Consider the following 24,957-nt stretch of genomic DNA (forward strand, 5'->3'; position numbering starts at 1 on the left):
ATGTGGAAAACTAGGGCTCAGCCACTTTAATTCCATCTTTCTTATTTTTAACCACACAAGGCATTATTTTTTATGTCTATTAGAATCACCCACATGTTGGCCTTCTCAGTTAATTCTTCATTCCTTCTTGCATTTCAGACCTTCCACTGGGGTTCACATTCCTTCTGTCTGAAATTCATCATTTAGAACTTCCTTTAGAGAGGACGTACTAGTGGCAAGCTTTTAGTTTTGCCCGCTACTTTCTCTATTTTGTCCCAATTCTTCAAAGACTTTTTCTGGTTGTAGAATTCTAAGTTGACAATTGCTTTGTTTTAGCACATTTACAATATCATTCTCTTGTCTTCTAGCAAGCTTCCTAGTCCTGCAAAGTCAGCTGTTAGTGTAACTATCACTTGTGTTTTTTCTCTAGATGTTTTTAACATCTTTTGTAGTCTTTGGTGTTGCAGTTTTTTATCAGTAAAATGTCTAGGAGGGAATTGCTTTTCAAATATTTTGCTTGTGATTCACTGGACTTCTAAACATAGTCCTTCCTAGACTGTTACAATGATTAAATGAGTTAATATGTGTAAAGCACATATAGAACAGTACTTGCACAAATAAGTGCTCAATAAATACTACCTATTTTGGATTCTGTGTATTGATGTCTGTGTCAGTTCTTAATACATTCCTTCATAGCTCCAACCCACCCTTCTGTACTCTGTGGTGTGAGAGCTAGTCTATGTCTCTTAGCTTTCTCTTTTATTTTTTCCATTTCCCTTTCTCCCTCTGCTACATTTTGCACAATTTCTTTTAGCCTATCCTCCAATTGCAAATTGGACAGATTTACAAATTGGATTTTGCACACACAACTTTCCTTTGCCAGTGTCTCTATGTTGGTTCCACCAGTGAGAGATTCTGGAGGGACATGCAAGGCTTGAGGAGGAGGAAGGGACTTACCATGTCCTGTTTTTTTGTTTGTTTGGTTTTTGTTTTGTTTTGTTTCTGAGGTCTGGTTGTGGGCTTATGATCCTGTGAGCAATCTTGGCGATGGTTGTCTGCATGCAGCTGTTGGCTCAATGCACGGCTCATCTCTGCGGTGGCATTCCTTGGGTTCCTCAGGTGTCCAGCATTCCCGCAGCAGCTGTGCTTTCTCATCAGAGCTTTTTGATGCTTGGTTCTGTGGACTCGTCCTCTAAGTTTCTAAGTTTCTCCTGGTTTCCTTGTTCTGTCAGCCCAGTGAGTTTCTGCATTTGCCACCTCTGTTACACTCCAGAGTCCACCTTTACTCTCTTAGCCATTAACCACTTTTTACTTAGTCAATTCTTTATACTAAATTTTATATTAATAATTTCTGACTCAAGTTTAAGGTGGGTTTCTGTCTCCTGACTGGATTCTGATACAGTATTTATCATCAGTTCTGGAAAATTCTCTGTCTTTATCTGTTTAAATATTATTCTAGTCCATTTGATCTCTCTTATCTCTCAGAAACTCCAGTCTGACATAGAGCAGATCTTTCTCCTCTATGCTCGATGTCTCTTAGCTTTCTCTTTCACTTTTTCTATTTCTCTTTTGCCCTCTGTTACATTTTGGATAATTTTTTTTTAGCATATCTTCCTATTTACAAATCTATTCAATTACATATAACATTCTGTCAAACTCCTCTACTGCTAATATATACAAGGTATTTTATATCTATATATCAGCATGTTTAGCTTTTTAGCATTTTAGGCTTTCAGGAAAAGGGTGTATCTTGAGAGTTAGCCAGACATATTACTGGAACCTGATATGTCAATATTTGGAATCTTTTCTTCCAGCAAACATAAGCAATGATGGTGTTCACACTTTTGGTTTGTATCGTATTTTCTAGCAATGGATTTGGTGTAGCACCTCTGGAGTCTAGAGTGAGGTATTTTCTAGGAGAATGCCCCACTACATTGATTTTTTGTGCATTAAGTATTGTAGCATTATTTTCTCATGAGGTCATAGCCTGGGACGATGAATCAAATTCTTTACCAGCAGACCGTGTGGGAAGAACAGCCACCAGTGAACCAAATACCCAGACAATATGGAAATAACATGTTTTTCTTTCTTCTTGCCTTCCTTCTCACCCTTTGTTTCTTCCCTTATATGTGCATTTATTTACTTATAACAAACATTTATTTAAGGGTGGGTAGAGGGTCATTACAAGGAAACAGATTCCTATCTATAATAAAAAATCTGATTCTGACTGTAAATCTTGGAAATTTCTGGAGAGGGTAGAAAAAAATTAATGATGGAGTGAGGGGAAATGGGTACAATATCAAGGCCACATATATGCTATATCACCACTATGTCTAAAATTCCCTGGTAAATTGACCCATGAGTGGGAATGAGGCACATTTCCCAAGGTAAGGATTCAATGTAAGGAAAGCTATCATTGAAATTCCTCAATACCTCAGATTGAATAGTAAAATACGTACTGTTAAGGCCATTTTACTCACCAAAACTGAGGCTTAAGAGTCTCAAAAGTTAGTTTTTCCAGTTGTCCATTTTACAAATTGCTAGTAGCAAACCAGGATAACAACTTACATCTTTGGACTTTCTGGATGTCTCCTGCTGTGCTCCATTACTAGGGCAGTCAGCAGAAGCAGGGAGTGTCTGTGCTCCAGCAGCAGTGCCTGGGGTCAGTCCACAAAGACACCCTGCTTCCATTCTACATCTCCTAGGTCTGTGAATTGACATTTGAAGATACAACAGTTGCAATAATCTGAGACAATTTGCCTGCCACATGCAACTTCTTGCAATGGGCAATCTTAATACCACACAGGTTTCCTTTACTCCCTTTCCCCACCCCAACACACTTGGTGAGCAGGATCAATGACTGATCTAAGTTCAAGGGCAGAGGCTACCATTTGGAATTGCCAGAATAGAGCTGTGTGCACTCCAACCAACAGTGTACAAGGGTCCCCTTTTCTCCATATCCTTGCCAGCATTTGTTATTGTCTGTCTTTTGGATAAAAGCCATTTTAACTGAGGTGAGATCATATCTCATAGTTTTGATTTGCATTTCTCAACTACGAGATATGATCTCACCTCAGTTAAAATGGCTTTTATCCAAAAGGCAGACAATAACAAATGCTGGCAAGGATATGGAGAAAAGGGGACCCTTGTACACTGTTGGAATGTAAATTAGTACAACCACTATGGAGAACGGTTTGGATGTTCCTCAAAAAATTAAAAATAGAGCTACCATATGACACAGCAATCCTATTGCCAGGTATATACCCAAAGGAAAGGAAATCAGTATATCCAAGAGCTATCAGCACTCCCATGTTTATTGTAGCACTGTTCACAATAGCCAAGATTTGGAAGTACTCTAAGTGTCCATTAGCAGATGAATGGATAAAGACAATGTGGTAATACACATAATGGAGTACTATTCAGTCATAAAGAAGAATTAGATCCTGTCATTTGCAATAACATGGATGGAACTGGAGGTCATAATGTTGAGTGAAATAAACCAGGCACAGAAAGACAAACTTTGCATGTTCTCACTTATTTATGGGAGCTAAAAACTAAAATAACTGAACTCACAGAGATAGAGAGTAGAAGGATGGTTACGAGAGGATGGGAAGGGTAGCGAGGTGGGTAGGGGGGATGTGGGGATCATTAATGGGTATAAAAAATAGTTAGAGGCCAGGCGCAGTGGCTCACGCCTGTAATCCCAGCACTTTGGGAGGCCGAGGTAGGCGGAACACCTGAGGAGTTCAAGACCAGCCTGGCCAATATGATGAAACCCCGTCTCTACTAAAAATACAAAAATTAGCTGGGCGTGATGGTGTGCACCTGTAGTCCCAGCTGCTTGGGAGGCTGAGGCAGGAGAATCGCTGGAACCCAAGAGGTGAAGGTTGCAGTGAGCTGAGATCGCGTCACTGCACTCCAGCCTGGGTGACAGAGTGAGACTCCACATCAAAAAAAAAAAAAAAAAGTTAGAAAGATTGAATAAGACCTAATATTTGCTAGCACAACAGGGTGAATATAGTAAAAAATAATTTATTTGTACCTTCAAAAATAACTAGACAAGTATAATTGGGTTGTTTGTAACACACAAAAAATAAGTACTTGAAGTGGTGGATACCCCATTTACCCTGATGTGATTATTTTGTATTGCAGGCCTCTATCAGAATATCTCATGTAACCCATAAATATATACACCTACTCTGTACCCACAAAAAGTTTTTAAAAAGAAAAATAAATAGCAACCGAAAAAAAAAGAGAGGGAGAAAAGAAAAAAGAAAAAAAAATCAAGTGCCTGGCTGGGTAGAATAAATTCTAAGGCCACAATGTTACTGACCATGGGTTTTTTGGCTCTCAGTGTATAGAAATTGACACAAGGCCAATAGTCTTCCCAAACATGCTTTACTGGAACTTACGCCCTGGCATAAGGGCCACAACAAAAGAGAGAGCGAATTCTCTGGCTTGCTGACTCCTTGGAAAAAACCGGTAGGGATTTTTTTATTAGGCAAAGCACAGGAATTGACGTCAGAGGCAGGATGTGCTGCTGGGCAAAGCATACGAGAAGTGGGGTATGCAGGTCAGCATTACTTGGTTGCAATGGTTATCTTGAGGAATGGGCCAACTGGTGGTCTGGCCAGTGGCAACAAGGCTGTAAATCAATTATTCAGCATTCCTTCCCAAGGTGGGACACCCGGCAACATTGTTTATCTCCTAAGGCCAGTTCCTGGAATTAAGTGAAAGGATGACTAATGGACATGTTGTCAGTGAGGTAGTGGTGTGGGTTTTGTGACCAGTGGGAATGCACGAAAGAATGCTTTAGCGGGGAGTGAGCTGAAGCCAAGCCCCATCCCTACTCTGTCTCAAAGTGAGTTCAGAAAAGGGGATTTAAAGAATTCTTTTTTTTTTTTTTTTTTTTTTTGAGACAGAGTCTTGCTCTGTCGCCCAGGCTGGAGTGCAGTGGCGCCATCTTGGCTCACTGCAAGCTCCGCCCCCCGGGTTCATGCCATTCTCCTGCCTCAGCCTCCCAAGTAGCTGGGACTGCAGGTGCCTACCACCAAGCCCAGCTAATTTTTTGTATTTTTTTTTTAGTAGAGACGGGGTTTCACCATGTTAGCCAGGATGGTCTCGATCTCCTGACCTCGTGATCTGCCCGCCTTAGCCTCCCAAAGTGCTGGGATTACAGGCATGAGCCTCCGCCCCCGGCCTTAAATAATTCTTAAAGGAAGTAAAGTTAACTTTGAAAGAACTATCAGGATTTGGATTGACTGAAAGGAGTGGGGAAGCTTAGGGAGGAGGTGCTTGCCAGACACTGGGTCATGGCAGTGGTCGGTGAAGCTGCAGTTGCCTAGGGCAGGGATGGAGAGAGAGTCTGGGCATGAGGAGAGGGTCTCGGGATGTTTGGCTGGACTAGATTTTACAGAAAGCCTTATCCAGGCTTTTAAAATTACTCTTTCCAGACTTCATCTGAGACTCCTTCTTCAGCCAACATTCCTTAGCCCTGAATACATTTCCTATCCTCATCTTTCCCTTCTTTTTTTTCCTTTCTTTTACATGTTTAAATTTAAACCATTCTTCGTGACCCCTTTTCTTGGGAGATTCATGGCAAGAACGAGAAGAATGATGGTGCTTGTTAGGGGATGTCCTGTCTCTCTGAACTTTGGGGTCCTATGCATTAAATAATTTTCCTGACGAGCTCAAGTGCTCCCTCTGGTCTACAATCCCTGGCGGCTGGCCTTCATCCCTTGGGCAAGCATTGCATACAGCTCATGGCCCTCCCTCTACCATACCCTCCACCCCCGTTCGCCTAAGCTCCCTTCTCCGGGAATTTCATCATTTCCTAGAACAGCCAGAACATTTGTGGTCTATTTCTCTGTTAGTGTTTAACCAACCATCTGTTCTAAAAGAAGGGCTGAACTGATGGAAGGAATGCTGTTAGCCTGAGACTCAGGAAGACAACTTCTGCAGGGTCACTCCCTGGCTTCTGGAGGAAAGAGAAGGAGGGCAGTGCTCCAGTGGTACAGAAGTGAGACATAATGGAATCAGGCTTCACCTCCAAGGACACCTATCTAAGCCATTTTAACCCTCGGGATTACCTAGAAAAATATTACAAGTTTGGTTCTAGGCACTCTGCAGAAAGCCAGATTCTTAAGCACCTTCTGAAAAATCTTTTCAAGATATTCTGCCTAGGTAAGTCTGTTGTCTGCATGTCTCCCCACTAATGTGAGTCATATAGATGGAGTCTCAGGGCACGACTGGGTTTTGTGTCTCTCGTTGTTGCTTCACAGCCCTTTTGGCATCACCCATTTATTTAACTAGGATAAAAACGAATATTGGTATAGCGATTCCACAGTTTACAAAGTGCTTTTGTATCCACTGTCTCACTTGATCAAGCAAAAGGAAACCAGAGGACCGGAGTGCTGTCCTGAGTCTACCTTGATTTGCTAGGCGACTTGAGGGAGACTTTTAGCCTCAAAGGGCCACTTAAGTGGAAATTCTAAAACAGTACCTATTCTGATCCTAACTCAAGGGAATGCTGTGAATATGCATGAGATAAAGACCTCCCAATATATGAAGAACTGGGTGATTTTTGGAGAAAGACATTATATACTCAATTTCTTTTTTAATTAACTTTCCTTGAAAGTATTGCTTAATAGTTTTTACATTCTCCATGTAACAGACTTTCTGGATCTGGTGTTCAGTCTGTACACCAGATGTAGATCTTTTTTACCTTCTCCTAGACCTTAAAATTCCTGGCAACATGCCTCCACCCTGGATTGGGGAATAAAAAATGAAAAGTTTTTTTTTTTTCTTTTTGACTTTAAATTTTATTAAAGTTTGAGGTTTTTCAAACTGATGTGCTTTATTTAAAATTCAAGTGAGACATTTTTAGTCTTTTTGATATTTATATTTTCTTTGTCACTATGATGTAAATTACAGGGATTTGGGGAAAATATGGGATTTTTTTTTTTTTTTTGGAGATATAGATCTCACTCTGTTGCCTAGGCTGGATGGAGTGCAGGGATGTGATCACAGCTCATCATAGTCTCGAACTCCTGGACTCAAGGGATCCTTCTGCCTCAGCCTCTCCAATAACTAGGTCTTCAGGCACACGCCACCATGCCTAGCTAATTTTAAAATTTTTTTGTAGAGATGAGGTCTCACTATGTTGTCCAGGCTGGTCTCATCCTCCAGGCCTCAAGTGATCCTCCTGCCTTGGCCTTCCAGAGTATTGGGACTGTAGGCATGAGCCACTGTGCCTGGCCCAGAAAAGATGTTTTAAAAAAACATTTTGAGGGAAAAGTTGTGAACAGTAGTGGTCTGTCTTTGAGGATCGCCAGCACAGTCCCAGGGAAGACAATGTAAATTTGACTCTGCCCACTGCCATGAGATGCCTGATCTCTCCTCTTTGTTCCTCCCACTAATCCAGACGGTGTGAAGGGAGACCTGCTGATTGACATCGGCTCTGGCCCCACTATCTATCAGCTCCTCTCTGCTTGTGAATCCTTTAAGGAGATCGTCGTCACTGACTACTCAGACCAGAACCTGCAGGAGCTGGAGAAGTGGCTGAAGAAAGAGCCAGAGGCCTTTGACTGGTCCCCAGTGGTGACCTATGTGTGTGATCTTGAAGGGAACAGGTAGAGAAACTGGTGTCTACTTCTTGGCTTTTGAAGGTACCTGAGTGATGGTTGGCAAAAGCAACAGACAGATAGGGACCAAAGAGAAATCCAAATGGAGAATGAGTGGTAACGAGAGAGCGAGAGCAAGAGAGATGAGATAGGCCCATGTGTGTGCATGTTAGTAAATTTGTGTATGTGCACGTGCATGTGTGCACCAGAGTAATGGAAGACACAGGGAGAGGGTTGAAGAAATGGATACTGAGCAAAGAGGAGTAAACCCCCAAATTTTCCAGGCCTTTGGGGACAAGAGCAGTGTGCAGTCAAGTACCTTGGGACCTAGGTTTAGGACAGCTGCAAGTAAAAGGCTAACCCAGCTTCTCACCAGCAGCTTTTGGATGTCAGTGCTTGTCCCTTGCCTCACTGCCATGCTGCTGTAGCCATCCAAGCCTATAGAACTTGGCTGTGAGTGTGGCTAATGCTGACATCACCAGATACAACCAAAATCTGACTAGGTTTTTAAACTGAGGTAAGAAACATAAAGGAATTACTTGAAAAGAATTTATTAATCACCATCCATGAAAGTAGACTTTGTATACTTACAACTAATGGTCAAGATCTTACACTACCACATCTACATGTAAATTTATGCAAATGAATCTCATTTGTTCATGTAAATTTTAATTTCTTCCAACACGAGAAATTGGCAATAGCCTATTAGCCAGAGGTAGCCACGCCTGCAATTCACTGTCTTTCTCATATCCTTATGCACTTCCATCTTCTGCTGATTGTCTGACAATATCCAGTCTGTTCCCCAACTGACCATTCACTCCTGGAGCAACATTTCTCTGCTGCTATGCATATTGCTGAGACCCCACAGACTTCTTTGCAAGCTGCATAAAAAGATGAATGTTTGCAATTATAGTATCTGCAAATAAAAATAGGTTTTGTTCTTCTATTCCAACTTTATGCTTTTTATTTATTTTTCTGCCCTTATTATGTTGGCAAAAACTTTCAATACAATATTGAATAGAAATGATGACAGCAGACCTCTGTGCCTTATTCCATATTCTAGGATAAAAAATGTTCAATGATTTATCATTAAGTATATTAACTATTGGTTTTTCATAGATATTATTTATCAGACTAAGTTCTGCATTCCTAGCTTTTTTGAAATTTTAATCAAATGTTGAATTTTGTCAAAATTTGTTTGCATTTATTAAGATGGTCTTATGATTTTCCTCCTGTATTCTGAAAATGTGAATTACATTGGAAAATTTTGAATGTTACACCAAAGTGGCATAAACTACTTGGTCATGAAGTATAATTGAGCTATAATTTTCTTCTAGTGTGCTTCACAAATTTTGATATCAGCATGATGCTGGCTGGAGTCATAAAATGAGTTGGGAGTGATATCCCCTCTTCTATTTTCTGAAAGAGTTTGAGTATTATTAGTATAATTTCCTTCTTAAATGATTGATAGCATTTACCAGCGAAGCCAGGTGAATCTGAAATTTTTGTGCGAGAGAAGACTTTATTAAAAACAGTATTTCTTTAATGGTTACTTGGATTTTCCGTTTGTTCTTTTGTCTGTTTTGGTAAGTGGTACTTTTCAAGAAGTTTGTCCTTTTTATCTTGGTTGTCAACTTTATTGGCATTTTTTTTTTTTTACAATATCCTTTTAATACCTTATTATGTCTGTAGGATCTGTAGTGATCTCTCCTCTTTCATTCTTGATATTGGTAATTTGTCTTGTTTTCTTTCTGTTGTCTTGATCAACCTTGCTACAGATTGATCATTTTATTAATCTTTTCCAAAAACCAACTTTTGGCTATGTTGATTTTTCTCTATTGTCTGTCCATTTTCTATTTCATTGCTTTCTGCTCTTATTTTTGATCACTTTCTTTCTTCTAGTTATTTTAATTTTAATTCTTTTCTAGTTTACTTTATTTTTTTCTAGCTTTCTAAAATGTCTTGTTTTTAATTCTTCTTTTAGCTTCTTAAGTTGGAAACTTATATCATTTATTTCACATATCTCTTTTTCTAATGTAGGCATTTAATGCTGCAAATTTCCTTTAGCACTGTTTTAACTGCATCCCATGATTCTTGTATGTGGTATTTTTATTATTTTCAAATTCAGCATATTGTCTCATTTCCTTTGTAATTTCTTTTTTGACCATGAATTATTTAGAATTATGTTGCTTAATTTCCAAAGTATTGGGATTTTTCTAGCTATCTTATTGTTATTGCTTTCAAATTAAATTTTGTTGTAGTCAGAGATTTATTTTGTGGCTCTGCATATGGTCTATCTCAGTAAACGTTCTATGTGCTTTCTACATTGAAAAGAGTGTATATTGTTCAGTTGTAGATATAGTTTCTATAAATATCAATTAAGTCAGGCAGGTTGATAGTATCATTCAAATTTTCTACATCCTTACTGACGTTTTGTTTACTTTCTCTGTCAATTACTGAGAGTGTTAATGTCTCAAACTATGATTGTTGATTTATCCTTTGCTCCCTATAGTTCTGTCAACATTTGCTATATGCATTTTGACACTTGTTTTTAGCTCTGTTATATACATTTTTAGGATTGTTATGTCTTCTTGATGAACTGACCACTTTACCATTGTGAAATATCTCCCTTTATTTCCAGCAATGTATTTGTCTTGAAGTCTACTTTTTCTGATGTTAATATAGCTACATCACCCTTCCTATGCTTGCTGTTTTGCATGGTGTGGTGGGCAGCCTCTAAGATGGCCCCCAATAATCCTTGTGTCAGTATTTTCACCTTTGTGTAATCCCCTTCCCTAGAATATCCACTGGATTTAGTGATTCAGTACTGACAAGTTTGGTAGAATGCAGCATAGTGATGGGATATCAATTGTGATATTAAATTAAAAGGACTACAGCACCACTACACACCTATTAGATCTAGGCCAGAATCTGGAAGACTGACAACACCAAATGCTGATGAGGCTGTGGGGAAAGAGGAACTCTTATTTATTGTTCGTGGGAATTAAAAATGGTGTAGCCATTTTGGAAGACAATTCGACTATTCCTTGCAAAACTATTCAATCTAGCAGTTGCACTCCTTGGTATGTAACCCAGAAAGCTGCATGTATTACACTCCTCAGTATGTAACCCAAAAAGCTGTGGTATGTCTACACAAAAAGCTGCACACAGATGTTTATAGTAGCTATATTCATAATTGCCAAAAATTGGAAGCAACCAAGATGTCTTTCAGTAAGCGAATGAATAAATAAACTGTGGTACATTTAGACAATGGAATAATATCCAGTGCTAAAAAGAAATGAGCTATCAAGCCACGAAAAGACATGGAGGAAATGTAAATACAATTACTAATTGAAAGAAGCCAATCTTAAAAGGCTACATGTATGATTCCAACTATATGACATTCTGGAAAATGCAAAACTAGGGAAGAAGTAAAGAAGATAAGTGGTTGCTAGGGGTCGGGGAGGGAGAGATAAATAGGTGGAGTATAGAGGATTTTTTAGAGCAGTGAGACTACTCTGTACAGTACTATAATGGTGGACACATGTCATTATATATTTGTCCAAATCCATGGAATGTACAATACCAAGAGTGAATCTTAACGTAGATTACAGACTTTGGGTGATAATGGTATGCCAATGTAGGCCTTCTGCTTGATTTTGCGGTGAACCTAATATTGCTGTAAAAAACAAAATCAATTTTTAAAAAATGACAGCTTTTTATTGGGTATTCTGTCTCTATCTCACTCTCTTGTCCTGGGGAGTGAGCTTGGAACCAAATTTCCCCCAGTTGAACCAGAAAAAACAGAGAAATAAGTGTTTGTCATTTTTAGCTGCTAAATTTTGGGGATAATTTATCCTGCAGTTACATATAACTAATATACATGATATATCTACATATCTTTTTCTACCCTTCTGTTTTCAGATTATGTTTTCTCTTTTTAATCCAGACTGACAATTTCTGCCTCTAACTGGATTGTTTAGTCCATTTACATTTAATGTAATTACTAATATTACAGGGTTGAATTTAAATCTACCATCTTGGTATATGATTTCTATCTGTCCCATCTGATTGTTGTTCACCTGTGTCTTTCTTCCTGTTTTCCCTTGGTGAATGCAGTAATTTTTAGTATTCCATTTAGTATAAGTGTACATATTTTTAGTATTTATTTTTTATCTCCCCTGTTAACCTCTTCTGTGTCTTGTGTGAGTTTGTGTGGTTTTTCTAGGAATTGCAATATGCATCCTTGACATATCTATTGTCTCATGAAGGATGTAAGATATTCCAAAAGTGTAATTTCCTTAACCGACTTTCCTGGCCCTTATGTTCTTGTCATGTATTTTATTTCTATGTATAACACTATAATACATATATTGTTATTAGTTTTGCTTTAGTTAGTAGTGATTTTATTTATTTTTATTGTCTTATTTTTAATTTTGATTTTTAAAATAAAATTTACCATCTTTACTATGTTTAAGTGTTAGTTGAATAGTGTTAAGTATAGTCACATAAGTCAGTATACAGTTTTAAACAATGTATATAACAATATATATTAAACATAGGAATTTTGGACTGAATGTTTTTATCCCTCCCTCCCAATTTCTGTGTTGAAATCCTAACCCCCTTATGATGGTATTAAGAGGTCGGGGCTTTGAAAGGTCATTAGGTCATGGAGGTGGAGACTTCATGAATGGGATTAGTGCCCTTATAAAAGGAACCCCATAGAGCTCTCTAGCTCTCCTTCTGCCATATAAAGGTACAATGAGAAGTCAGCTGTCTGTGGCCCAGAAGAGTCCTCATCAGACCCTGACCAGGCTGGCATCCTAATCTCAGACTTCCAGCCTTTAGAATTGTAGGAAATAAATTTCTGTTGTTTATGAGCCACCCAGTCTATGGTATTCTGTTACAGGAGCCCAAACTAACTAAGGCTATATTATGCATATATTTAAGATCTTTTATATTTACCCACATATCTTTCTTCTCTAGTGTTTTTCATTCCTTTCCCAAGATCTGTTCTTCTGTTTGGCATCATTTTCCTTCACCTGAAGAACTTATTTTAGTATTAGTTATAATGCAGTTCTGCTGGAGACAAATTCTCTTAACTTATCAAGTCGGGTAAAAAGTTAGTAATTGTTTTCCTCCCTGCTAACTTGAGGAATTTAACAATTTTTGATAACCAAAGTCCCCTGGCATCTCTCTTACCAGTATTTATTATTGAAATCTGAGATTTTAAAGTTCAAATATTGTAATTTAAAGTATTATTTTTATATTTTCTTTCAAGATCAGTTTGGACATTTGCTTTTGGTTTGTAATCAAATTTAGAATTATTTGGACATATTTGGTGCTCATTTTATACAATTTTTCTAGATATTGAGTCTTTAATTTTGGTTCATCTGTCAACTGAATAGATCTTCAAATATTTATTTCAAGAGGAACATACAGTGACGTGTTTTCTAAGTCCATGCATATATGAGAATGTATTTTGTCACTCTTACACATGAACAAAATCATAAAATTGTTTAAATATTGCCCCACTTTTTTTCTGACATGTAGTAAGAAGTTGAGAGAGGCTATTCTATTTTTTTTAGACAGGGTCTTGCTCTGTCACCCACACTGGGGTGCAGTGGTGAGATCTCACTGTAGCCTTGACCTCCTGGGCTCAGGTGATTTCCCACCTTAGCCTCCTGAGTAGCTGGGACTACAGGTCCACACTGCCATAGCTGGCTAATTTTTTGTAGAGATGGGAGTTTTGCTCTGTTGCCCAGGCCGGTGAGAGCCTATTTTCATATGCATTTTAACCTGTATACCCCTGACTTAGAATTTTATATTGGCTATAGCCTTCAAAGTGGGGCTATATTCTTCAATATAAAAATAATTTCATACACCTTTTTTTTCTGTTGACTATGTGATTCTACAGAATGAAATTGATATTAACTAGAAACAATTGCAGCTATGACAATTTGGACAATATCTAAAGTTATTTAGTAAATAAGGAAATTCCCAGGGTTTGTAGAATCTCAGGGAAACTTTGTAATAAGTAAATAAATCTTCAGTCACTGTTAGACAACACACCTTGCCAAAGTCCAAATCATCTGTCAAGAAGGCCTTTGAAACTTTGTTCTCACTTTCTGTATCCACCACCGGCCTTTCCATCTCATTCAAAAATAAACCCTTACAATCTAGCAGGATAGTAAAAGCATTACTTATCTCACACCTGAAATGTCAGCTTGGAACAACTAGCTCTTGAGACACTGTCCCCTCCCAATCACTCTGTTGGACATTGCATTTTTGGCAGTAAATTTCTGCATTCTTATCCTTATCCTTGTGCTAGATCCTGTGGCTTTAATTATTTTAAGAATGATAATGATCCTATGCAACTCATGTCTTTCCTGCATCTTCAAGTAGCTTTATCAACCTACAACCTATTTCCTTCAAGATGATTTCTTCTTTATCTGAAGTTTTTTCTTGTGCTAAAGGCTGCCAAAGACGTATGTACTGTCTCCTGTTCTTCTACCTCTGCATTTAAATACCACTCATTTTAAATTAGCTGGCCATAGTGGTGCACACCCGTATTCCCAGCTACTGGGGAGGCTGAGGAGAGAGGATCACTTGAGCTTGGGAGATCGAGGCTGCAGTGAGCTGTGGTCACATTCCAGACTGGCTGGCAGAGTGACACTCTGTCTCAAAAATAATAAAAAATAATAATAAAAATAAATAACCCTCATTTTTACAACTATCCAAAAAAGTTTTAAGAAAGTCAAACACTAAGATACAATTACTCAAGCTTATACAATGAACAGAGGAAAATGAGCTCTTTCCTTAAGAAATTGTAGAAGCTGCATTACTTAACCTATGGTTCCTGGAACTTGGAATGCATAGCTTAGGCTTGTGGTCCCTGGACTAGTAGTTTGACAACACGTGGGAGCTTTTAGAAATGCAGGCTGTCAGGCCCCACTAGCTACCTACAGAATCAGAACCTTCACTGTAAGATCTGCTAAGGGTGGTATGCACATTACAGTAGAAGAAGCACTGGTGTCTGGAGCAGGGCTTCCCTCTAGGTGTGCCAGGGCACACACACAGGTGGGTGGGAATCAGTTGCAGGCATGCTGTCCAAGCTGTTTTCCTTGGCCCTCTTGACAGCAGGTGGGGCATGGACCACCTCCTGGTTGCCTCTGTAGAGAGTGGCTCCTCCTTTTTTTTTTTTAATTTTTTATTATACTTTAAGTTCTAGGGTACATGTGCACAACGTGCAGGTTTGTTACTTATGTATACATGTGCCATGTTGGTGTGCTGCACCCATTAACTCGTCATTTACATTAGGTATATCTCCTAATGCTATCCATGCCCCCTCCCCCCACCCCACGACAGGCCCCGGTGTGTGATGTTCCCCACCCTGTATCCAAGTGTTCTCATTGTTCAATTCCCACCTATGAGTGAGAACGTGTGGTGTTTGGTTTTCTGTCCTTGAGATAGTTTGCTCAGAATGATGGTTTCCAGCTTCATCCATGTCCCTACAAAGGACATGAACTCATCATTTTTTATGGCTGCATAGTATTCCATGGTGTATATGTGCCACATTTTCTTAATCCAGTCTATCATTGTTGGACATTTGGGTTGGTTCCAAGTCTTTGCTATTGTGAATAGTGCCACAATAAACATATGTGTGCATGTGTCTTTATAGCAGCATGATTTATAATCCTTTGGGTATATACCCAGTAATGGGATGGCTGGGTCAAATGGTATTTCTAGTTCTAGATCCCTGAGGAATCACCACACTGACTTCCACAATGGTTGAACTAGTTTACAGTCCCACCAACAATGTAAAAGTGTTCCTATTTCTCCACATCCTCTCCAGCACCTGTTGTTTCCTGACTTTTTAATGATCACCATTCTAAGTGGTGTGAGATGGTGTCTCATTGTGGTTTTGATTTGCATTTCTCTGATGACCAGTGATGATGAGCATTTTTTCATGTGTCTGTTGGCTGCATAAATGTCTTCTTTTGAGAAGTGTCTGTTCATATCCTTTGCCCACTTTTTGATGGGGTTGTTTGATTTTTTCTTGTAAATTTGTTTAAGTTCTTTGTAGATTCTGGATATTAGCCCTTTGTCAGATGGGTAGATTGTAAAATTTCTCTCCCATTCTGTAGGTTGCCTGTTCACTCTGATGCTAGTTTCTTTTGCTGGCAGAAGCTCTTTAATTTAATTAGATCTCATTTGTTAATTTTGGCTTTTGTTGCTATTGCTTTTGGTGTTTTAGACATGAAGTCCTTGCCCATGCCTATGGCCTGAATGGTATTCCCTAGGTTTTCTTCTAGGGTTTTTATGGTTTTAGATCTAACATTTAAGTCTTTAATCCATCTTGAATTAATTTTTGCATAAGGTGTAAGGAAGGGATCCAGTTTCAACTTTCTACATATGGCTAGCCAGTTTTCCCAGCACCATTTATTAAATAGGGAATCCTTTCCCTATTTCTTGTTTTTGTCAGGTTTGTCAAAGATGAGATGGTTGTAGATGTGTGGTATTATTTCTGAGGGCTCTGTTCTGTTCCATTGTTCTACATTTCTGTTTTGGTACCAGTACCATGCTGTTTTGGTTACTGTAGCCTTGTAGTACAGTTTGAAGTCAGGTAGTGTGCTCCTCTTAACCTCAGCATACCTGACAGAAGAAAGCTTAGGCCCCTGTCGAGGTGGCAGTTCTCTGAGGTAAATGCTCTCTGTGCAAAGACCTCCATTTCTATTTAAAAAGATGTTTGTATGTTGTCCAAAAATAGACACAGTTGTGCCAAATGTGTTCCACAAACTAGTGAACCACTTCTATTCCAAAGCATCTCTGGACTTTCACAGCTTGCAAAAGGATATTGATAAGCTTTTTCAAAACCAGGATCTTGATGATCATGATGATTGTTTCAGTGATACCTAGGAAACATTCCCGCCTTTTACAAGGATGCCTCTCTCTTAAATAGGTGCTCTTGCCACCTTATCTCCCCAGGAAAATTCACAGGGCAGGTTAAGAAACCTTCAACTAGCTATTTCCTCAATTGTAAACATTTCTACTCACAGGTCTCAGAGCACTTCAAACTCAGTGTGTCCAAAACAGAGCTACCATCTGCTCCAGATCTGCTTTATTTCTGGTATTCTTAGCTCCTTGAATGGCACCATCATATAATAAATTGGACAAGCCAGAACCTGGAAGTCAATTTGTCCTTTCCCTCTCTGTCATGTTCCATATCTAACTTAACATCAAGCTCTGTCCATTTTACTTCCTGACTTCCTCTGTAACCCATTTCTTCCCGTGTTTACCATCACCTGGTCTCAGCTACCCCTGTCTCCCTCCTGACTGGCCTCCCACTTCCACTCTTGCCCCTCCACTCAATTCTTCTCTGTTCTGCAGCCCAAGTGACCCTCTCAAAATGTAAATCTGATCATGTCACTCTCCTCCTTAGTGCTCCCTAGTGACTCTCCAGAGCTTTTGGAATGAAAAGCAAAATTCCTGTCATGGTCCACAAAGCCCTGCCTAGTCTGGCTCTGCCAACCTATTTCCCCACAATCCAGCCACGTTGGCTCTCTCCTCCTGTGTTTCCTGCCACCACGTGGCCTTTGCACTTGCGGTTTCCTCTTACTGGAATTTCCTCCCGCCCTCCCTGCTTGCTTCAGTCTGGTTAACTCCTACGTATTTATCCTCTATATCTCTGCTTGCCCGACTCCTTTTTGGAGGAGCTTTTCCTGATCCTCTAGGTCAAGGGGAGCTCCCAACATCTCCCCATTAGTGCCATGCTCCTTTCCTTCCTTGCATTTGTCAGTTTTAATTTCCACTCCTATGAGTGATCACTGGGTTAATGCTTTCTCCCGCCACCCACCCGTCTACAATCTCCATGAGGTTAGAATCTGTTTCTCATTTGTTCATCCTTGTGTCCCCAGTGCCCAGCCTATTTCCTGAACATAGTAGAGGTTCAAAACATATTTGGAAAATACATGAATACTCACATTTTGCTTTTCAGACTTTTCCTCCTAGAATATCATTCACCTGATTCGGGTGTGGGGTGTGGTCTCTGTCAAAGATGCACTAATGATTGTTCCTTGCCCGTACAATTCTCACAGTGACCTCCACGCTTACTTAGCCTTGATTTCCTTGACCTGTTTTGATGGTTCTTTCTCAGGAGAGCCTGCAGGAACTTCTGAGGATGGGGCTTTGGGGATGTGAGGACAATGAAAAACAGCTTGTCAGGGAGATTCTGATGCACTGCCAGCCTTGCTGAGACAGGGCAGGAGGAACCGCCTCTAAATCTCAGGATAGTTCACCTGGAATGTGGGAAGACATTCTCAGAAAGGGTTCTTCCCGGGGCCCTCCTCTTCATCCTTTCTTGCCTCCCTCCCTTCCTCCCCATACCCCTCAGGCTTTTATAGATGCATATTTACAGAGGACAGGGCTACCTTTTTTTGCATATTGATTCTTTTGAAAGGGCAGACCTTTAGAACTAAAGAAATGACCACACCGCTGTTAGCTTTCTGCAAAACAGCATAGCACTTTCCCGGTGTGTGTTTATTACCTACCCCATGAGCTAAACATGAGGCAAAGTAGTAATTGGCTGGGTCTCTGGTGAGTCCATTTCCCTGCGTTGCCCCGAGGTGTATGCAGGCTTTACACAGCTACCTTGGCAACTGACTTCCCCAATGTTTGCTGTGTGTCCAAGGACAAGCAGGGATCTATGACACTGGGTGTTTCTAGCAAATTTCCCTCTCAAATTGGCACATTCTCTGTGAGCTTTGGAGACTTCACAGTGTGGCTCACAGTTTGGGAACAATTTGCATCATCATCTGACTGGTAAGTTCTAGTTCTGTGGTAACTCAAGTGTTTCAAATAGCTTAATACGCAATAGGGCACGGAGGTTCGTTCTGCTTCTGTTGGAATCAAACACACATTTCCACAATGTTCCCGTTATACAGGATCATCCCGAAACACATCCCCCAGAACACTATGTTGTCACTACTCTACCTTTTGATATACACTTTATTATTATTCCTATGTGCAGATAGGTTACTTAAGTTTTTCTGTTCTAGATTAGTTTGTCTATTCAAATACATGTTTCTCACACACTTCTACAGTGTTTTTCTTTTTGTTGTTATTCTTAAAGTGTTCTATGAAAACTTCCATGTTGTATCAAGGCTGGGTGGTAGCTTTGTAACTAGTTTCCCACCTTAGAATGACTGTCTGCTTTGTCCAGGACTGCAAGGGGGACTTAGAATATGGGATTTTTCAGTGCTAAAACTAGAAAAGTCTGAGACAAATCAGGACAAAGTGGTCACCCTGCTACCATTTCTAGCCTTGATAAAGGAGCAGGTAGACCCAACCAAGGATAATTTTTGTTTTCTATGTAGATACCAGTTTAGTGGTTGGTAGGAATTCCCCCAAATCAACACCTTGCTAAGCTCATCTCTCTCTCTCTCTCTCTTTTAATATGACAGCTTATTGAGATAAAACTCACATACCATACAATTAATGCACCCATTTAAATTGCGAAATTCAGTAGTTTTTAGTATACTTTCAGAGTTGTGCAACCTTCATCACAATCAATTTTACAACATTTTCATAATTCTCAAAAGAAATCCTGTACCCATTAGCAGCCACTCCCATTTCTCTCCAAATCCCTCAGCTCCTGGCAACCACTGGTCTGCTTTCAGTCTCTGTAGCTTTGCCTTTTCTGGACATTTCATATAAATGGAATCATACAATATGTGGCCTTTTGGTTCTGGCTTTTTTCATTTAGCCTGTGTCTAGAAGGTCCATCCATGTTGTAGCATGTGTCAGAATTTCATTTCTTTTTGTTGCCAAATAATATTCCATTATATGTATATATCACATTTTATTTACCTATTCAGAAGTTGACGGTTGCATTGTTTGCACCTTTTAGCTGTTTATAAACATTCATTACAAGTTTTTGTATGGATATATGTTTTCATTTCTCTTGGGTATATACCTAGACAGATTTCCTGGGTCATGTGGTAACTCTATATTTAACCTTTTAAGGAACTGCCAGACTGTTTTCCAAAGTAACTGGACTATTTTACATTGTCAGCAGCAGTGTATGTAGGTTCCAGTTTCTGCAAATCCTTGCCAACACTTGGTATTATCTGTCTTTTTTATTATAGCCGTCATAGTGATGTGAAGTGGTATCTCATGGTTTTGATTTGCATTTCTCTGATGACTGACAATGTTGAGCATCTTTTCATCTGCTAATTGCTAAGCTCCTTAAATGGAAAATTATAGGAAGCATAAAGCATGTTTGCAAAGAAGTGATTATATTCGCTAGGATTAAGATTTTAAGTGAATATTTAAGATGCCCATGACTAGTGTCCACTCTCTCGAATCAAGTTTTATTTAAACCATTGACTTTTCCTCATAACTGGAAATGGTCCCAGTGAAAGTCTCCCTCACTTGCTGGAATGTGGGGCCATCTCTGCTGTCTGTCAAGCCTTGATGCCCAAGTGGCCATTTTCTCCTGGAGTCTGCATCAGATGGTAGAGTGTGTGTTTCCTGAGTGTGAGACTGGATCTGCTCCACAATGCTTTGCTGGTTAACTCCTTCCAAGAGTGCAATACCCAGGGGTCACTCCTACTCTTAGTGCTCTGGGGCCTGGGCCCTTAACACACTCAATGTTTCTTCCCCTTTTCTCACTTATCTGATCTTCTGCTACTTCTTTCTCCTTTGTCCGCCCCTGCTCTCTGGTTTCTCTTGTACACTCTGTTTATTTAATTTTGATCATTTGTTTGTTTGTTCCTTTCTTCCTCCTTTAACAAATTCAAATAGGATACAAGCCACTCTGTCCCATCTCCTGCCCTTGCCTTCTCTTCTTTCATTCTTTTATTAACTGATTTTTCTCTTGAGAAATCACCACTGGGTCAGGTGTGGTGGTGGCTCATGCCTGCAATTCCAGCAGTTTGAGAGGCTGAGGCAGGAGGATCACTTGAGGCCAGAAGTTCGAGACCAGCCTGGGCAACATAGGGAGACCCTGTCTCTATAAAACATAAAAAAATTAGCCTGGTATGGTGGTGCAAGCCTGTAATCCCAGTGCTTTGGGAGGCTGAGGTGGGGAGGATCCCTTGAGCCCAGGAGTTTGAGGCTGCAGTGAGCTGTGATGGCGCCACTGCGCTCCATCCTGTGCAACAGAACAGGACCCTGTCTCTAGAAACAAAACAAAACAAAAAACCCAAAACATGCCATTGATTTGGCAGAAAAGGACAGGGTTCCTGGCAAGGCTACCAAAAACATGATCTCTGTCAGAAAACATACTATCTGCAATATTTGTTGGAATCTGAGAATGGGAAATGTAGCTTTCTTCTCTCCAGGAGTGCCCTGTTCACAGCTGTGGGATAATGATCAATAGTTCCTAAAAATATCTATGGAAGACCTCACCACTCTTATTGATCAGCAACTACTGCAAAGATAATGTTTCAGCATTTGAAACCCCTTATTATTAATACTTATTCTGTATGGGTCAAGTAGCCGCTAACTTACAGTTTGGCAGATGGATCAAGTATAATAATAATAACCTATAAATACTAATAAATGAGCCAGTATAGTATAAGTGAGTACTATACTAAGCAGTGAAGGAAGAATAATTTCATGGAGGGAAGTCCACGGTAGAAGCAGGCTGCTAGGTATTATTATCGTTTTCACATACTATTCACTTTATGAAGAGATTTAACATAGCTCAGGGTAATATGGTCTCATTCAAATGCCAAAATGACCCCTCAGTTCTTCTTTCTCTCCTTTCCCGATAGAGGTGGCCCTAAGGACACACATCTGGGACAATACGGCCATTTTTAGCCTTGACCCAAGAGATCTGGGTTCCCCATGACTGGAGTGGAAAACAATGTCTGTGGGTTTGTGTTTTTCAGAGTCAAGGGTCCAGAGAAGGAGGAGAAGTTGAGACAGGCGGTCAAGCAGGTGCTGAAGTGTGATGTGACTCAGAGCCAGCCACTGGGGGCCGTCCCCTTACCCCCGGCTGACTGCGTGCTCAGCACACTGTGTCTGGATGCCGCCTGCCCAGACCTCCCCACCTACTGCAGGGCGCTCAGGAACCTCGGCAGCCTACTGAAGCCAGGGGGCTTCCTGGTGATCATGGATGCGCTCAAGAGCAGCTACTACATGATTGGTGAGCAGAAGTTCTCCAGCCTCCCCCTGGGCCGGGAGGCAGTAGAGGCTGCTGTGAAAGAGGCTGGCTACACAATCGAATGGTTTGAGGTGATCTCGCAAAGTTATTCTTCCACCATGGCCAACAACGAAGGACTTTTCTCCCTGGTGGCGAGGAAGCTGAGCAGACCCCTGTGATGCCTGTGACCTCAATTAAAGCAATTCCTTTGACCTGTCCAGTTGACTTTAGTCCTTGTTTCTAACTGCCAAGTCATGTGCTGAGTAGAGGCTCAGTGGTTGGGGCCCAATGGTTCATCTAGGACGGGACTAGAGAGGTCAGTCTACAAGCAATCCATTGACCACTTACTTGGTGCTGCACACAAATGTTGGTGCTATGGGACCCAAAGATGAGCAATTAGTATTCCAGTCTTCATTGCCTGTGCTTACAAAAGAAGACCTCACTTCCCTAAACATCTAGTTATGGCGGCTCAAGCCCGTACCTGCCTACAGAGAAGTGTCTGCAGTTACTCACTATTAGTTTCCTAAGGGGGCACTGCTGGCTCCTTCTCTCCCAGGAATGGGCTTCTCCTATTCTTTAACTCTTGCCTTCTCCCTGGAGAGGCTACCAAACCCTGGCCTCTGCCGCTGTTCAGGCTGCCATGTGGGTATAGCTGTTTGCTAGACTCCACTCTGGCCTCAGGGGCCAGAGAACAGCTGTCCAGCATTTCTGTTCATCCCAGCAATCCAAAAAAAAATTTTTTTAAGCTACAAAGATCACTCCATTTTCAAATTCAGACTCTGCCACTTATTAGCTGTTTCTCATTAGGCAAGTTATATAACCTTGCAGTGCCTCACTTTCCTCATCTATAAAATGAGATTAAAATAGTCTTTTTATTAAGAGAATTAAAGTGAATTGTGGCCAGGCACTGTGGCTCATGCCTGTAATCCCAGCGCTTTGGGAGGCTGAGGCAGACAGATTGCTTGAGCTCAGAAGTTCGAGACTGGCCTGGGGAACATGCAAAAACCCTGTCTGTATTAAAAATACAAAAAAATTAGCTAGGTGTGGCGGCATATGCCTGTGGTCCCAGCTACTCAGGAGGCTGAAGTGGGAGGATGGCTTGAGCCCGGGAGGCGGAGGTTGCAATGAACTGAGATCGCACCACTGTGTTCCAGACAGAGTGCGATGCTGTCTCGAAAAAAGTAAAATAATAAATAAATAATAAATAAAATAAAATAAAGTGAATTGTTACATGTAAAGGACCTAGAATATTGCATGGTGCTTGATAAACATTCAGTAAATGTTAGTTACAATCATTATTATTATACGCATCATCGTTAATATTAGTTGCCAAAGCAGCTGAGAAAAGATGGCTTATTCTCCAATCAGGAGAGAGGATTCCTGTTCTCGGCTACAGGCACTGGACTCTTTACTGGCATTGCCTTTGAGAGAGGCTGTGATACAACTCAGTTTCTATACCACATGCTGCCAATTCCTTTTTGATTTAAGAAATCTCTAGCAAACATTTAGCACTCTCCAAGCATCTTTCTTTCATGCACCAGGCACAAGAATGAAAATGAAATCCCAGTGTCAGCTGACTCAACAGCCCTCATCTTCATAGTCCCAGAAACACCCTAAGTGCTCCCAGGTCCTTCCAAGGGCAGTAGTGTACCTGCACCAGCAGTCCCTACCCAGAATCTCCCTGTTGAGGCTCTCCTGCTCAGGCTGTGATGCTGGGGCCCCTGAGCCCAGCCTGAGGATGCTGGAAAGGGACCAATATGCCCTCTTTTGAGAAGGATACTGCCCATGCCTAACACTCTGCTTTAGATGCCTCAGAGCCATCCTGGTTTCCTCCCAGAGTGGTAAGAAACACTTTTCATTTATTCCAGGGATTGGTAAACTTTTCCTGTCAAGGCCCAGATAGCAAATATTTCTGGCTTTGTGGGTTATACAGTCTTAATTGCAGCTACTCAACTCTGCAGTTGTAGCAGAAGCAGCTATAGACAGTATGTAACAAATGTGCGTGTTTGTGTTCCAATAAAACTTTATTTATAAAAACAGATGGATGGATAGATTAGGCCCAAGGGTTGTAGTTTGTAGACCCCTGATCTAGACCCTTAAGTAGCCTTGTTTGTGCCTGAAGTTTACAGATGATCCCCAACTTATTTTTATTTTATTTTTTTGAGATGGAGTCTCTCTCTGGAGCCCAGGTTGGAGTACAGTGGCAAGATCTTGGCTCACTGCAACCTCCACATTCCGGGTTCAAGTAATTCTCCCGCCTCAGCTTCCTGAGTAGCTGGGATTACAGGCGTGTGCCACCATGCCCAGCTAATTTTTGTATTTTGTATGTTAGCCATGTTGGCAAGGCTGGCCTCAACCTCCTGACCTCAAGTGATCTGCCCACCTCAGCCTCCCAAAGTGCTGGGATTACAGGAGTGAGCCACCATGCCCGAACCCCAACTTATGTTTGACTTACAATGTTTGGACTTTATGATGGTGCAAATGTTATATGCATTCAGTAGAAACTGTACTTCAAATTTTGAATTTTGATCTTTTATTTTTATTGTTACAAAATTGGCTTTGTGTTTGATGATGTTGCCCAGTTTTTGGCTAATGAAAGAGTTCTGAGCATATTTAAGGTAGGCTAGGCTAAACTATGATGTTTGATACATTAGGTGCATTAAATTTATTTTGGACTTATGATATTCTCAACTTATGATGGGTTATTGGGCTGTTACCTCATCATCTGCCGAGGACCATCTGTATACATTTTCTTGTGAACAGTCTGGTCAGTTTCTTCTTATAGGAGCTCAAGGCAAGTCCAAGGGGCTGGACAAAAAATAGGCAGAATATGGTTTCTTCTGTGCTCCATCCCTGCTGTAGCACTCTCTTTCTTGCTCAATCTCCCAATCAAAACTCCTCCTTCCAAATGGCATGAACCCAGGAGGCAGAGCTTGCAGTGAGCCGAGATCGCACCACAACACTCCAGCCTGGGCTTGGGTGACAAAGCGAGACTCCATCTCAAAAAAAAAACAAAACAAAAAAAAAGAAACTCCTCCTTCCTCCCCTAGTTTGAAGCATTCAATAAATACAAACAGAAAATCAGAAAACAAGGGTGGTGGGGGATGGCAGATGAAGTGTTACCTACACTAATATTTCTCAAACTGCAAGTTGCCATTCATCAATGTATCATAAAATCAATTTGGTGCACCAAATCCACATTTTAAA

At 40.5% G+C, this 24,957-nt stretch overlaps 1 protein-coding gene across 5 annotated transcripts in view, besides 1 other annotated feature; it reads left to right on the top strand.

Annotated features, from left to right (window-relative positions):
- The window catches only part of NNMT (nicotinamide N-methyltransferase), a 55,731-nt gene extending 32,743 nt beyond the window's left edge, over positions 1–22,988 (top strand). The window contains exons 1-4 of one of the 5 annotated variants that reach the window (NM_001372046.1): positions 4,602–4,657; positions 5,883–6,162; positions 7,403–7,610; positions 21,497–22,988. In NM_001372046.1, the coding sequence (NP_001358975.1) occupies positions 6,009–6,162; positions 7,403–7,610; positions 21,497–21,929 (795 nt within the window). In that variant the 5' untranslated portion in view covers positions 4,602–4,657; positions 5,883–6,008 and the 3' untranslated portion in view covers positions 21,930–22,988. Of the gene's footprint in view, positions 1–4,601; positions 4,658–4,788; positions 4,841–5,850; positions 6,163–7,402; positions 7,611–21,496 lie in introns of those variants that run through there. The other 4 variants (NM_001372045.1, NM_001372047.1, NM_006169.3 and 1 more) reach the window with 4 other exon arrangements.
- Positions 5,327–5,827: an enhancer, noted in NCBI's record as "H3K27ac hESC enhancer chr11:114166597-114167097 (GRCh37/hg19 assembly coordinates)". NCBI's record gives its function as "activates a minimal SCP1, AML or CMV promoter by ChIP-STARR-seq in primed H9 embryonic stem cells {active_cell/tissue: H9 hESC(primed)}" and the evidence as "EXISTENCE:reporter gene assay evidence [ECO:0000049][PMID:30033119]".
- Positions 22,989–24,957: the final 1,969 nt, after the last annotated feature.

The sequence above is a fragment of the Homo sapiens genome, chromosome 11, assembly GCF_000001405.40.
Source record: "Homo sapiens chromosome 11, GRCh38.p14 Primary Assembly".
NCBI lineage: Eukaryota > Metazoa > Chordata > Mammalia > Primates > Hominidae > Homo > Homo sapiens.